General features: G+C 55.6%; 1 protein-coding gene across 13 annotated transcripts in view, besides 7 other annotated features; it reads left to right on the forward strand.

Moving 5' to 3' along the window:
• Positions 5,893 to 6,397: an enhancer, noted in NCBI's record as "H3K4me1 hESC enhancer chr14:103236826-103237330 (GRCh37/hg19 assembly coordinates)". NCBI's record gives its function as "activates a minimal SCP1, AML or CMV promoter by ChIP-STARR-seq in naive and primed H9 embryonic stem cells {active_cell/tissue: H9 hESC(naive and primed)}" and the evidence as "EXISTENCE:reporter gene assay evidence [ECO:0000049][PMID:30033119]".
• Positions 6,398 to 6,902: an enhancer, noted in NCBI's record as "H3K4me1 hESC enhancer chr14:103237331-103237835 (GRCh37/hg19 assembly coordinates)". NCBI's record gives its function as "activates a minimal SCP1, AML or CMV promoter by ChIP-STARR-seq in primed H9 embryonic stem cells {active_cell/tissue: H9 hESC(primed)}" and the evidence as "EXISTENCE:reporter gene assay evidence [ECO:0000049][PMID:30033119]".
• Positions 11,426 to 11,665: an enhancer, noted in NCBI's record as "active region_9082". NCBI's record gives its function as "activates an Ori minimal core promoter by ATAC-STARR-seq in GM12878 lymphoblastoid cells {active_cell/tissue: GM12878}" and the evidence as "EXISTENCE:reporter gene assay evidence [ECO:0000049][PMID:35858748]".
• Positions 12,376 to 12,435: a silencer, noted in NCBI's record as "silent region_6128". NCBI's record gives its function as "represses an Ori minimal core promoter by ATAC-STARR-seq in GM12878 lymphoblastoid cells {active_cell/tissue: GM12878}" and the evidence as "EXISTENCE:reporter gene assay evidence [ECO:0000049][PMID:35858748]".
• Positions 12,526 to 13,135: a silencer, noted in NCBI's record as "silent region_6129". NCBI's record gives its function as "represses an Ori minimal core promoter by ATAC-STARR-seq in GM12878 lymphoblastoid cells {active_cell/tissue: GM12878}" and the evidence as "EXISTENCE:reporter gene assay evidence [ECO:0000049][PMID:35858748]".
• The window catches only part of TRAF3 (TNF receptor associated factor 3), a 134,052-nt gene continuing 132,784 nt past the window's right edge, over positions 12,853 to 14,120 (forward strand). For all 13 annotated transcript variants that reach the window (NM_145725.3, NM_001385142.1, NM_145726.3 and 10 more), the window contains exon 1: positions 12,853 to 13,079. The gene's annotated coding sequence lies outside the window, so the exon portion shown is untranslated. The remainder of the gene's footprint in view (positions 13,080 to 14,120) is intronic.
• Positions 13,346 to 13,395: a silencer, noted in NCBI's record as "silent region_6130". NCBI's record gives its function as "represses an Ori minimal core promoter by ATAC-STARR-seq in GM12878 lymphoblastoid cells {active_cell/tissue: GM12878}" and the evidence as "EXISTENCE:reporter gene assay evidence [ECO:0000049][PMID:35858748]".
• Positions 13,636 to 13,695: a silencer, noted in NCBI's record as "silent region_6131". NCBI's record gives its function as "represses an Ori minimal core promoter by ATAC-STARR-seq in GM12878 lymphoblastoid cells {active_cell/tissue: GM12878}" and the evidence as "EXISTENCE:reporter gene assay evidence [ECO:0000049][PMID:35858748]".

Raw genomic sequence — 14,120 nt, forward strand, 5'->3', positions numbered from 1 at the left:
TACCCTCCTCCAGCAGCTTCCTGGGGTGGCCTCACGCGAGCCTGGTGACTGACTCTTAAACAGACTGGTGCCTACATGATACCCCAAAAGAGGGGATGTGTGTCACCCCAGAGGCATAGGAATGAGCCCAAGACACCTGGGCCGGGGGCCACAGGGTCGGCAGAGAGCCCAGGTGGATGCTCACTCCAGTTCTTGGTCCCTTTAATCATGGCCTAAGGCTCCCTATGCTTCTGGAAGGAGACCTTAGCTTCCGGAAGGATAGCTGGTGTTCAGCAAACTCTTGTTAAACTGATGAAGCAGGGTTATTTCCATAGCTTGCTAATTCCAAAGAGAGTAATTATTTACTTAAAGAAGCTCTTAGGCCGGGCGCGGTGGCTCACGCCTGTAATCCCAGCACTTTGGGAGGCCGAGGAGGGCGTATCATAAGGTCAGGAGATCGAGACCATCCTGGCTAACACAGTGAAACCCCGTCTCTACTAAAAATAAGAAAATTAGCCGGGTGTGGTGGTGGGCGCTTGTATTCCCAGCTACTCGGGAGACTGAGGCAGGAGAACAGCGTGAACCCAGGAGGCAGAGCTTGCAGTGAGCCGAGATAGCGCCACTGCATTCCAGCCTGGGCGACAGAGCGAGACTCCAACTCAAAAAAAAAAAAAAGCAGCTCTTAGACTGTCATTTCAATGGTGAATGCCCCCTGTGACATGAGTTGATTTGGGTACCTTTAGAAAATAGTGGAGGAAGCTGGGTGCAGTGGCTCCCGCCTGTAATCCTAGCACTCTGGGAGGCCGAGGTGGGCAGATTGGTTAAGCCCAGAAGTTCGAGACCAGCCTGGGCAACATGGTAAAACCCCATCTCTACAAAAAAAATACAAAAATTAGCCAGGTGTGGTGGCACACGGCCACCTGTAGTCTCAGCTACTCGATAGGCTGAGATGGGAGGATCGGCTGAGCTTAGGAGGTCGAGGCTGCAGTGGGTCACGATCGTGCCACTATACTCCAGTCTGAGTGACGATGAGGCCCCATCAAAAAAAAAAAAAAAAAAAAAAAAAAAAAGAGGCCGGGCGCGGTGGCTCATTCCTGTAATCCCAGCACTTTGGGAGGCCAAGGCGGGTGATCACGAGGTCAGGAGTTCAAGACCAGCCTGGCCAAGATGGTGAATCCCTGTCTTTACTAAAAATACAAAAAATTAGCCGGGCATGGTGGCAGGCGCCTGTAATCCCAGCTACTCAGGAGGCTGAGGCAAAGAATTGCTTGAACCTGGGAGGCAGAGGTTGCAGTGAGCCAAGATTGCGCCACTGCACTCCCGCCTTGGCGACAGAGTGAGACTCTGTCAAGGAAAGAAAGAAAGAAGAAAGGAAGGAAGGAAGGAAGGAAGAAAGAAAGAGAAAGGAAGGGAAGGGAAAAGAAAGAAAAGAAAAGAAAAAAAAAAAGAGGGAAATTGAAAGTTGGTAGTTATGGAAAATCACCTACATTGCAATCATGCACGGGATTTAACGTCTTAAAACAACTAATTTACCACAGAGGTGCAATGAGACCCCGAATTTGTGAATCCACTGATTTTTTAAATTCTTGCTACCCAAGACAGAGAACACAGGGGATCTCTGTGTTATGGGGCTCATCAGACCCCTTTATTTAGCCTTCAGATGGGAAGCCCCACCCCACCCTGCCCTGGAAGAGCCGCCTTCTTGGGGAGTTGCTTTCATGGACCCAGCTCCAGGGAAGATGGGTGGCCTGGATTCCTTCATTGCTACTCACCCAACTCAGCCCTCCAGGACCTCTCAAGGCCTTACGGCACCCCCGAGTTTGGAAATTCTACTTGTAATTGGGTTTATTAATTAGAGTTCATGCTTCAGGTGAATAAGACACAAATACAATTGGGCTGCCCCACACATAACCTGGGTAAGAAGAACAAAGTCAGAGTTGGTCATTGAAACAACTCCCAGAGACAAACAGCAGCAGGGGTTGAGAGTGGATTCTTTTTTGGGGTAGGGGCAGGGGACAGGGTCTTGCTCTGTCACCCAGGCTGGAATTCAGTGGTGCAGTCATGCTCACTACAGCTTCAATCTCCCAGGCTCAAGCGATCCTCCCACCTCGGCCTCCTGAGTAGCTGAGATCACAGGCACACGTCACCATGGCTGGCTAATTTTTAAATTTTTTATAGAGATGGGGTCTCATTATGTTGTCCAAGCTGGTCTCAAACTCTTGGGCTCAAGTGATCCTCCTGCTTTGGCCTCCCAAATTGCTGGAGTTACAGGCAAAAGCCGCCGCTCCTACACAAACACATACACACACACACACACACATTTTATATATATATAATGTATATATATAGAGAGAGCGCCAGGTTTTTGATTGGCCTGGACTGGGTGGAGGTCTGGCCTTGAGTTTCTTTCATGTTCACACTTGGTGAGGCCAGGGGGTGGCCAAAGACCCTCAGTCTTTTTCTTTTTCTTTTCTTAATTTTGTTTTTGAGACAGGGTCTCAGTCTGTCACCCAGGCTGGAGTGCAGTGGTGCAGCCTTGGCTCACTGTAGCTATGACCATCTGGGCTCAAGTGATCCTCCCACCTTGGCTTCCCAAGTAGCTGGGACTACAGGCAGACACCACCATGTCCAGCTATTTATTTATTTTTGATATTTTGTAAAGACAGTCTCATTATATTGCCCAGGCTAATCTCGAACTCTTGGACTCAAGCGCTCCTCCTGCCTCAGCTTCCCAAAGTGCTGGGATTATAGGCATGAGCCATGGCCCTTGGCCAGACTCCAATTTTCAGCCCCGCAAATGCACTTCAAATTCACATATTAAATAAAGGAATCTTGCTTATTATGGCAATGAGAATTCAAGACAGGTTCCTCCAACTCTTCCAGACAGATGGCCCTACCATAAGCTTCTCCAGTGTGGACATGCCAGAGCCAGCCTCAGCTCTGAGCCCAGCCCCGGGCCACAGTCCTGTGTGGGCAGTTACTTATTATGAAGCATGACACAGTGAAACTGGAGGCGTATGGATGGGACAGATGAGACTTGGGGTGGATGGCCCACTTACTCATTCACTCATTCATTCATTCACTTAGTTGAATGTTCTGAGGGCTGCCCAGGGCTTCCTACCATGGAGAGTGAGCATGGTCTCCACCCTCTCCAGGCTGTGGGCAGCCCTGGGGAGAGGGAACCAGCCAGGAGGACCAAAGCCTCTGGCAGAGAACTGGGTGGCGAGAGGAGGCCTGGCATTCTCTGCTCAGGACAGTTCAGGAGCGCAAGTGAGTTGACCCATGATCATTTTTATTGACTGATTGACTGCTTTAGAGACAGAGTCTCGCTCTGTCGCCCAGGCTGGAGTGTAGTGGTGCAATCTGGGCTCACTGCAACCTCTGCCTCCTGGGTCCAAGCGATTTTCCTGCCTCAGCCTCCCAAATAGCTGGGACTACAGGTGTGCGTCAACACGCCTGTTTAATGTTTGTATTTTTAGTAGACACTGGGTTTCACCATGTTGGCCAGGCTGGTCTCAAACTCCTGACCTCAAGTGATCCGCCCGCCTCGCCCTCCCAAAGTGCTGGGACTACAGGCGTGAGCCACCGTGCCTGGCCCCCAGTGTTATTTTAATTATGTGGGGGTAGATATCATTTTTACCCATGGCAACTGATCATGGAGCCCAGAGTTAAACCACCTTTCACATACTGAGGAAAGACGGGCTGATCCTTCCACAGTATTACAGTGACAGCTTCCAAAAGACCGCCCTGTGCCTTTCTTCTGGATTATCATGGCACCCCCCAGGACACGTTGGCCTCGTTGTCCTCACCAGCACTGGCTGTCTTCTCGAAGCTCCCTTGGGGTAGGGCAGGCTAACTTATTTCCGCTGTACAAAAGGGGAAACCCTGGGTCAGGAGGTACAGAAGTGCCTTCCTAAGAGCATATGGTTAGTCATGAGTTGAGTTCTGCTTTTTCGATTTCTGGTGGAGAATTCTCTTGCTCTAGTGATTCCTCATGGGTTCATTTTTCCTAGGGAGCTCATCACCATTATTTTTTGGGGGGCCTCTTGGCAAGAAGAGCTGGGGGCTTGTCCTCTGGTGTCCTCCATGCTCCAGGCACGAAGCCACTGTGCCAGGCCAGGGGCCCATTTGGGGGTGAATATCACGGGTTTATCATGAATTTGCCTGAAGTTCAACAGATATTTATTGGCTGGAAGAAAGTGGAGATTAACTAGAAGGTTACTTTTGATAGAATACAAGCTGTCAATCAAACTTTACAGTGGCCGCCCCCTCTCAGAGTAAAACCAAAGTCCTGTCAGGACCCAAAAAGCCATGGATGTCCGGCTCCCGACACCCCTACCCCACCCTGGTGTCTATCCTTCGCGCCTCTCTCCCCGCGCACAGGCTGCAGGCACACTGGCCTCGAGGAGTGCTCACCAATTTCAGGGCCTCTGGCCAGGCTGTTCCCTCCGCCTGGGCGCTCTCCCCACTGGTCCTGCGGGTCTGCCCCCTTCTCTCAGGTCTACATTCACAGGGTACCTCCTCCACTGCCCTCCCTGGCCTCTTGGAAATGCACTCTTTGTCCAGAATCACCCCTCTTGGCTCTGACTGGAAGGAAGAGGGGAGAAGGCACACAGATACCTGGGGAGGAGTGTTCTGGGCAGAGGGAACAGCAGGTGCCAGGGCTGTGAGGAGCGAATCAGCGTGGGTGCACTAAGACTTCCTGGAGGCCAGTGTGCTGGAGCAGGTGATCGAGGGGAAGCACAGGGCCTGAGGTGACCATCACGGTCCCCATGGCTCTTCCGGGGACTCCACCACTGCGAGCAGCTCAGCCAAAGCTGCCCTTTGGGAACAGCAGTGACGTGGCCAGAGCCACCTTGGCACACAGACCATGCTCCGTGAGTGCCACGTGCCGTTTTCTCTCCACTGGTTCCGAAGTGGAGTTTTTAAAAAAGGACTAGAGATGTTTCTATGGCATTTGGAATTGACATTGAACAAACCTAATATGTATCCATTTAAAAACTAGATCAGCACTTTGAGAGGCCGACGCAGGCGGATCACTGGGGTCAGGAGCTCGAGACCAGCCTGGCCAGCATGGTGAAACCCCGTCTCTATTAAAAATACAAAAATTAGCCAGGCGTGGTGGCAGGCATCTGTAATCCCAGCTACTTGGGAGGCTGAGGCAGGAGAATCACTTGAACCCAGGAGGTGGAGGCTGCAGTAAGCCAAGATCACACCACTGCACTCCAGCCTGGGTGACAGAGGGAGACTCCGTCTAAACAACAACAACATCAAGCCAGGCACAGTGGCTCACACCTGTAATTCTAGCACTTTGGGAGGCAGAGGCGGGCAGATCATTTGAAGCCAGGAGTTCGAGATCACCCTGACCACCATGGCAAAATCCCCCATCTCTACTAAAAAAAAAAAAAAATAGGTGTGGTGGCGCACATGGGAGGTGGAGGTTGCAGTGAGCCAAGATCGTGCCACTGCACTCCAGCCTGGGAAACAGAGTGAGACCCTGTCTCAAATAAACAAACCAGATCAATAGGCCCTGCCTATTGGGCACCCACCATCACTTCTGTGGCAGCCACCAGATGAAGGGCGATGCCCCATCGCCCCCTTGCTCTGCCTCAGGGGCGGAGGCACCTAATGGTTTCCAGTGTTTGGTGTTATTCCTCTTGAAGAGTCCCAGATGTGGGGTCACTGGGTTGAGAGGGATTCGCCTCTGTTTTGAGCACTCAGGACGCTTGTGTTATCAGTTGCTGTCCACAGCTGCGTGCCGATTTTCACTCCCCCAGCTCCCACTTGCTGGAACCGAGAGTCAACTGTGGTCTGTTCATGACACAAGATAATGTCCCATGGTGGTTCAAATTTGCCTGATGTTCAACAGATGTTTATTGGCTGGAAGAAAGTGAAGATCAAATATGAGGTAGTTTTGATAGAATACAAGCTGTCAATCAAACTTTACAGTGGGTGCCCCATCTCAGACTAAAGTCCTGTCAGGACCCAAAAGGCCATGGATGTCCGGCTCCCCATGCCCCTACCCCACCCTCGTGTCTATCCTTCACGCCTCTCTCCCTGCGCATGGGCTGCAGGCACATTGGCCTCGCGGAGTGCTCACCGACTACGGGGCCTCTGGCCGGGCCGTTCCCTCTGCCTGGGTGCTCTCCCCGCTGGTCCTGTGGGTCCGCCTCCTTCTCTCGGGTCTACATTCACAGGACACCTCCTCTGCCGCCTTCCCTGGCCTCTCCCTCCAAGCCTCCGCTCTCCCTCCCCTGCCACTACTTTCTCTGTAGCTCTCATAGATTCACGTGTGGTGATCTGTTCTATCTCCACCCACGAGAAAGTAAGCTCCGAAAGGCCAGGCATGCAGTTGGTTTTGTGCTGGTGGACAGCTGGGGGGTGGGGCATGCCCAGCAAGCAGCTCTGGACTGAATAAGCACGGGGAAGGTGGGAGGGGTCGCTTCCGTCCCGCAGCCTGTGACCCTGCAGACTTGTCCTCAGCCTCGGGGGATGAGGGAGGGTACCGCATCTGCCCCTGTTCATGGTGGGATGCATAGTGCAATGTTGACAAATTAGATAATTTCTGTACTTTTCAAACATTTTGTTTCATTAATCCAAGACTTAATTTGGACCCAATAATTTCCCCCCTCCTAATTTCCAGTGTGCAGGGAGGACCAGGGCTCACTTCCTTGGCTGTTGCCACATGCGACGAGTTGGGCCCTCCAAGGGCCCACCAACCACTGGCTTTGCTGGCTGAGTGGAGCAGGCTGCTGAGGGCTGGGGCTGAGTTGCTCGGGATTAGGTTGGGGTTGGGGGCCACAGAGGGGCCATTCTGAGCCTGCAGGTCGGGGACAGTGATGAGACAGAGCGGTGCGGCCTCTGAGTGGGATTTTAAGGAAGGCATGAGGTGTTCACAGTGGGCTTCGTGAGTTTTGCTTCATCCCGATCCTCTTCCCGGTCTCCCATGATGCCTTCAGCAGAAGATGCTTTTTCTTAGGAGTATGATGGAGTTGGATCTATTTTGAGAAGGCATTAAAGGTCGAGGTGGGCCAGGTGCGGTGGCTCACGCCTGTAATCCCAGCACTTTGGCAGGCCGAGGTGAGTGGATCACCTGAGGTGAGGAGTTTGAGACCAGCCTGACCAACATGGTGAATCCCCGTCTCTACTAAAAAAATACAAAAATTAGCCAGGCGTGGTGGCGGGCACCTGTAATCCCAGCTACTCAAGAGGCTGAGGCAGGAGAATGGCCTGAACCTGGGAGGCTGAGGTTGCAGTGAGCCGAGATCATGCCATTGCACTCCAGTCCGGGCAACAGAGCGAGACTCCGTCTCAAAAATAAAGGAAAGAAAGAAAGGAGGGAAGGAAAGGAAGGAAGGAAGGAAGGAAAGAAGGAAGGAAGGAAGGAAGGTCGGTCGAGATGGGCGTGAGGCTCCAGGCAAAGCTGCCTGTAGGATGCCAGCCACGTCCAAGATTCATGTTCTCCCAAAAGATTTCGGGAAAATGCCAGAGATGTGTGTGTGTGTGCGTGTGCGTGCATACAAATCCCAGAATGGGTTCCCTAAAATGAGGATGGCTGGGGGCAGTGGCTCACGCCTGTAATCCCAGCACTTTGGGAGGCTGAGAAATGAGGATCATTTGAGCCCAAGAATTCCAGACCAGCCTGGGCAATGTAGAGGGACCGTCTCTACAAAAAAAAAAAGTAGTTGGGCATATGGTGACACACATGGTGACACACACTTGTGTTTTCAGCTATTCAGGAGGGTGAAGAGGGAGGACTGCCTGAGCCTGGGAGGTCAAGTCTACAGTGAGCTATGATTGCACCACTGCACTCCAACCTGAGTGACAGAGTGAGACCCTGTCCCAGAAAAAAAAAAAAAGGGTATCTTCATCTCCCCGAGTGGTCCACGGAGAAAATCAGAGCTGGTTTTCTTCTAATTGATTGTTATTATTATTATTTTTGAGACAGAGTCTGGCTCTGTCACCCAGGCTGGAGTGTGGTGGCACAATCTTGGCCCACTGCAACCTCCGCCTCCCATGTTCAAGCGATTCTCCTGCCGCAGCCTCCCAAGTAGCTGGGATTACAGGCGCGGGCCACCACGCCCAGCTCATTTTTTGTATTTTTAGTAGAGACGAGGTTTCACCATGTTAGTCAGGCTGGTTTTGAACTCCTGACCTCAAGTGAACTGCCCGCCTGGGCCTCGCAAAGTGCTAGGATTACAGGCATGAGCTACAGTGCCCGGCCTCTGATTAATTATTTTTATTTTGATTTTTTTGTAGAGACGAGATCTCATCGTGTTGCCCAGGCTGGTCTCAAACTCCTGGCCTCAAGCGATCCTCCTGCCTCAGCCTCCCAAAGTGCAGGGATTACAGGTGTGAGCCAGCTAGCCCGCTAGAACTGTTTTTCTGTGGCCGGGGACCCCAGCCTCTCACCTTCCCTGTCATCACTGCCCTCTCCTCCCCTCTCGAATATCCCGCGTGAGGGGTTTGCACACCCACGCCCATCTCGACCTTCCTTCCTTCTTTCCTTCCTTCCCTCCTTTCCTTCCTTCCCTCCTTTCTTTCTTTCCTTTATTTTTGAGACGGAGTCTCACTCTGTTGCCCAGGCTGGAGTGCAATGGCGTGATCTCGGCTCACTACAACCTCAGCCTCCCAGGTTCAGGCCATTCTCCTGCCTCAGCCTCTTGAGTAGCTGGGATTACAGGTGCCCGCCACCATGCCTGGCTTGCTCTGCCTCCCCACCCCCATTTCCTCTGCATTTGTTTACAAGCATCCCTGGCCCGAGAAGGGCACCAGCAGCTTGCTTCTTTGCTGGCGACCTCTGCTGTCAGCCAGGGTCTACTTCAAGGACAGGATGGGCTTCCCAGCCCAGCTGCCCCACTGTGCACTCACGACAGAGCGGGGTGCTTTGGCGCCACGACCACCCCAGCTCCCTGAACCCCCTTCGACATCTTCAGCAGCTCTTTCAGTCTAAAATGGTGTTTTCAAACTTCAGGTCATGAATCAAAAGTAAGCTTAAAGGGTAATGGCCACCATTAAAAAATAAACAGAACGGAAAATATCGGAGTGCGCCGCAGGTTTGAGATGATCTGTTGTTACGTGTGTGTACACACACAGGTTATGAACAACTGGGTTACCATGTAAAATGTATTCAAAGGTTCAGAAGCCACTTGTTGGAACAATTAGTAAAACTGTGATTCTGCCGTGCATCAGGGTCCGCCCCCCGAGGCTGGGCACCATGGCTCACACCTGTAATCCCAGCACTTTGGGAGGTTGAGGTGGGCGGATCACCTGAGGTGAGGAGTTCAAGACCAGCCTGGCTAACATGGTGAAACCCTGTTTCTTTTTTTTTTTTTTTTTGAGAGGGAGTCTCGCTCTTTCACCCAGGCCGGACTCTTTTGCCCAGGCTGGACTGCAGTGGCGCTATCTCTATCTCTGCTCACTGCAAGCTCCGCCTCCCGGGTTCAGGCCATTCTCCTCCCTCAGCCTCCCGAGTAGCTAGGACCACAGGCGCCCGCCACCGCACCTGGCTAATTTTTTGTATTTTTAGAAGAGACGGGGTTTCACTGTGTTAGCCAGGATGGTCTCGATCTCCTGACCTCGTGATTCGCCCGCCTCGGCCTCCCAAAGTGCTGGGATGACAGGCGTGAGCCACCGCGCCTGGCTGTGAAACCCCGTTTCTACTAAAAATACAAAAAATTAGCCAGGCATGGTGGTGTGTGCCTGTAATTCCAGCTACTCAGGAGGCTGAAGCAGGAGAATGGCTTGAACCTGGGAGGTGCAGGTTGCAGTGAGCTGAGATCGCGCCATTGCATGCCAGCTTGGACAACAAGAGTGAAACTCCGTCTCAAAATAAAATAAAACAAAACAAATCAAAACCAAGGTCCCCACCCCCCACCCCCAGGCCACGTGTAGCATGTTTGAGTGAGAGAAGTTGCCAGCACCCTTCAGCCCAAGTTGACCCACAGGGGCCAGTGGTTTTTGTGTGGGAAGGCGCCACCTGAGGCACAGACCATCACATTCAGGGAGAGTTATAAGAAAACCCCTTTCCTAGCCCCAAAGCCCCTGGCACTCTGCCACGAATACCTTTTCCTTCTCACTGAAAGACAAACAGGATGGCCTTCTGAGCTGTTGCATGTCTGTGAGTCACTTGAGTATCTGCATGCACTTCTCCAAAAATGCAGCAAGCAGAACATGTAATGCTACATCAACTCCTGTGAGAAATGCGTCCAAAGATGGTGTCGGTTTGTTGTTGGACGTTGCCATAGGGAACAGAGATCTGCCTTTGAAGTACAGCGAGGAGAGAGCTCTCCTTCCTGCCCATCACTGCTGCCCTGTGGCTCTAACTGCAGGGGCGAGAACACCCGCCACCAACCCCCAAAGCAGTTGCCCTGCTTGGGGCAAACTTCTTTGTCCTGTCCCCCTTCAATTCCCCACAGCAGAGGATCTTCAGAACTGCTCAATTGGAGAAGAAAAAGGAGGAGGAGGGGAGGGAGAGAAAGGGAGGGAATAGGTCTCACCAGCAGAGGGCTCAGCCTGGTTGTGCCTGACTTCATTCTCAATGTTGCTTTCTAATGCTAGGCTGGAGCATGAAAAGAGCCGCAGAAAACCCTCTCATGGGTCTTTGGACCTTCTGCCTTGCTTCTTCTTTTCTTTTCTTTAATTATTTATTTATTTTTATTTTTTTGAGACAGGGTCTCGCTCTGTTGCCCAGACTGGAGTCCAGTGGTGCCATCATGGCTCACAGCAGCTTCAACCTCATGGACTCAAGCGATCCTCCCGCCTCAGCCTCCCAAAGTGCTGGGACCACAGGCATAAGCCACCATCCTACTTTTTTTTTTTTTTTCCAGACAGAGTCTCACTCTGTCGCCCAGATAGGAGTACAATGGCACAATCTCAGCTCACTGTAACCTCCGCCTCCTGGGTTCAAGTGATTCTCTTGCCTCAACCTCCTGGGTAGCTGGGATTACAGGCACACTCCACCACGCCCGGCTGATTTTTGTGTTTTTAGTAGAGACGTGGTTTCACCATGTTGGCCAGGCTGGTCTCGAACTCCTGACCTCAGGTGACTTGCCTGCCCGCGGCCTCCCAAAGTGCTGCAATTACAGGTGTGAGCCACCATGCCCGGTCCATGTCCTGCTTCTTTTAAAACAACCAAAAATAGTCCAGCCTAGGAAAGGGAGTCTTTCCTGATTTTGGCAAAGTTAAACCAGGCCATAGGTAACACACAGCATAAGGCAGGCGTTGGGAGTGGGCCCCAGTCGACAGGGTGCCAGGACTGTGGGCTAAGCAGGGCTGGGGACATGGGAGGCCTCAGTGCCTGGGCTATGGGAAGTGGTTGGGACCCTGAGCCTGAGGTCAGTAACATCCCAACTCCTGACAGGCAAGAAAGGGCACCTGAGGCTCCCAAGGGGAGTCCACCATGGGGGTGGGGGAGACCGCTGGAGTCCATAGGTCCCTGTGAGGGACGGCGAAGGCGGGCCTGTCACCTCTAAAAGAGCTGTGCCTGTGGCGCAGACGGGGGTGCCACTGTGGCCTGGTGAGTGTGGCTGTAGAACAAGCATCTGTTGGGCTAATGGAGCCAGAGACATGGTCCAATGTCTCTGATGTCCAGATAGACTTCCAGCAGCCAGGTCGGACTATCTGGGGTTCTGGAACGTTCCATGGGTGAAGCTGTAGGAGGAGATGCTGGACTTCCTGCCTCCACTCACATGAGTCACTGGAGCAATACAAGAAGGCAGACTGGCCTTGGCTACTCACACTGGTCTCAGCTCTGGGGTAGGGCTCTTTATAAGCCTTCTTGAGAAGTGAAAAATGCAAAGTCCTTTCTGTCCCCTCACCACTGACTTGCAAACTCCAGCGAAGGCCTCACCCCTCAGCTGGCCCAGAGCCTCCCAGAAGCCCTCCCTTCGCTTCCCACCTCGCCAGGCCCAGCCAGGCTGGGTGCTGCCTTGGTGGGCCTAGGTGAATCACTGACACACCACTGATGCCTTTGGGGCAGAAGGCAGAGGCCTCGGGAGAAATGCGCAGGCCCCAGCGGCCTGGTGGAGGGTGCAGGGGGCGCAGGGGCAGCCAGGACCGCCGAGGACGCTGGGGGCACGTGGCAAACTGGCTACCCTGTCCACCCGTGAGCAAGACACCACTCCGGGGGCGTGGGAGGGTCCAAGGGAGGGAGAAAGGAAAGTGCCACCAAACTAATGTGGAGCCCTGCCCTCTGCATGCGAAAAGGGGCTCCACGGCCTGAGTCACCCTCAGCCCCACCTGCGTGTGCGCGAGGGTGCGTGGCCTGGTACGCGTGCGCACGGTGTTGGTGAGCGTGTGTGTGCGTGTCCGCTTGAGGGGAATGTGACCGTCGTGTATGCGTCCGCGACAGTGCGGGGGGCCGCATATCGGACCCGTGCGTGTGCGTAGGGGTCGCGTGTGGCCATGGGCACACGGGCGTGCACGCACGGGGGCTGCGTATGCTATGCTGGCGTGGGGGGTGCGGGCGAGGTGGCCGCGGGGAGGAGCGGCGCCAGCACCTCTCGGCCCCCACGCGGCCTGCGTGGCTTTTTGACCCGGAAAGGCGGGGACGCGGGGACGCGCGGCGGCGGGGGCGCGGCGGGGGCGGCGCAGAGCGAGGAGGCCCGCGGGGCGCGCGGCGGGGACGGGAGGGAGGCGGGGGGCGCCCGGGGCCGTCCCCGCCCCGCGCCGCGGCGCCGCCGTTGCTAAGGCCGGGCGGGCGGCCGCCGGGCGCTAGGGCCCTTAGCAACGGGTCGCGGGCGCGCGCGGGGGGCCGGCGGGCGCGTGGGGCCGGCGGCGCTCGCGGGCTCCTGCCGCTCCCACGCGCGCGGGCGGCGGGGGCGGGGCGGCGGGCGCGCCGGGGATTTCCAGCGCGCGAGAGGAAGTGCCTGCGCGGGGCTGCGTGAGGGAGCGAGGGAGCGAGGGAGCGCGGCGCGGCCGCCGCGTGCGCGAGCCGGGGTTGCAGCCCAGCCGGGACTTTCCAGCCGGCGGCAGCCGCGGCGGCCGCCGGCTCTTCCCCGCCCCCCGCCATGGGGCAGCCCGGGGAGCAGAACGCTGCGGACCGCGGCGGAGGACGCGCCCGGCGCCCCTGAGCCGGCCGAGCGGCGACGGACCGCGAGGTAAGGGGCCGCGGCGGGCGGGCGGGCCTCCGGCGCGCGGCCGGGCGCCTCCATCCCCGTCGCCTCCATCCCGCGCCCTGGGCGGCGGGGCCCGGGGGCCTCGGGGCTGCCCGGCGCGGGCCCGGCGCGGCGCAGGCCCGGCCCGTCCCAGCGGCGACGGCGGGGCGCGGCTTCAGCCTGGCCCCGCGCCCCAGCCGGGCTGCCTCCCGCCTCCGGACGCCTCAACTTCGGCAAACTTTGTCCCGGAGGCCGGGCTCGGGGCCCGAGGGGGCCGGGGCGCCCGCACCTTTTCAGGAAACGGGGCGCGCAGGCCTCGCTACGGCCGTGACCCCCGCTGGCGTTGAGGACCCGGCACCCCGCGGGGCCGCGGGTTTCACGCGGGGGGACGGGCGGCTCAGGGGCTGCGTGGCCGAGCGCGCTGCCCGGGCCGGCCGGGGGGGCCCGGGCGTTATTGGAAAGTTGGTCCTGAGTCATTCCGCCTCAGAGGCGCCTCCGACCGCTTGGCGGGCGGCGCGGGGGTCCGGGTATGGGCAGAGGGCGCGAATCCCCCTCGCGCGGCCGCCGAGGGCCGGCGACTCCCGGGGCACCGGGCGGCTCCTGGCCGCGGGCTCTGCGTCTTCCCCGCGGGCGCCAGGCGGCTCTCGGCGGGCTGGCCGGTTCCACGCCGCCAGCCAGCCCCGTGTGGGGACTTCGGTCTAGTATTTGGACCCGAGGAGATAATTCTGTGTGGAAAATTCTCTCCCTTCGGTTGGAAACAGTAACAAACTGGAAACGGATGAGGTGTTATGGACGTGCTTGGAAATGCAAGAAACCTTCAGATTACGAGCTGTTGACGGGACCAGTTGTATTTCACGTTTTTCGAATTAAGCTCAGAATCAGTTTTCAGAATGACATGTGATGCGTGGTGCGTGGTGTGTGTGCCTGTGTGTGTGTATGGATATAATTCATTCATTTTTGTGGCGTCAGAAAGGTTATGTCGAGCGTTGTAGCGGCTTCTTAATTTACATTCACGGCATACAACTGAAGAGGAGCCATTATTTA

This window comes from Homo sapiens, chromosome 14 (assembly GCF_000001405.40).
Source record: "Homo sapiens chromosome 14, GRCh38.p14 Primary Assembly".
Classification (NCBI taxonomy): Eukaryota; Metazoa; Chordata; class Mammalia; order Primates; family Hominidae; genus Homo; species Homo sapiens.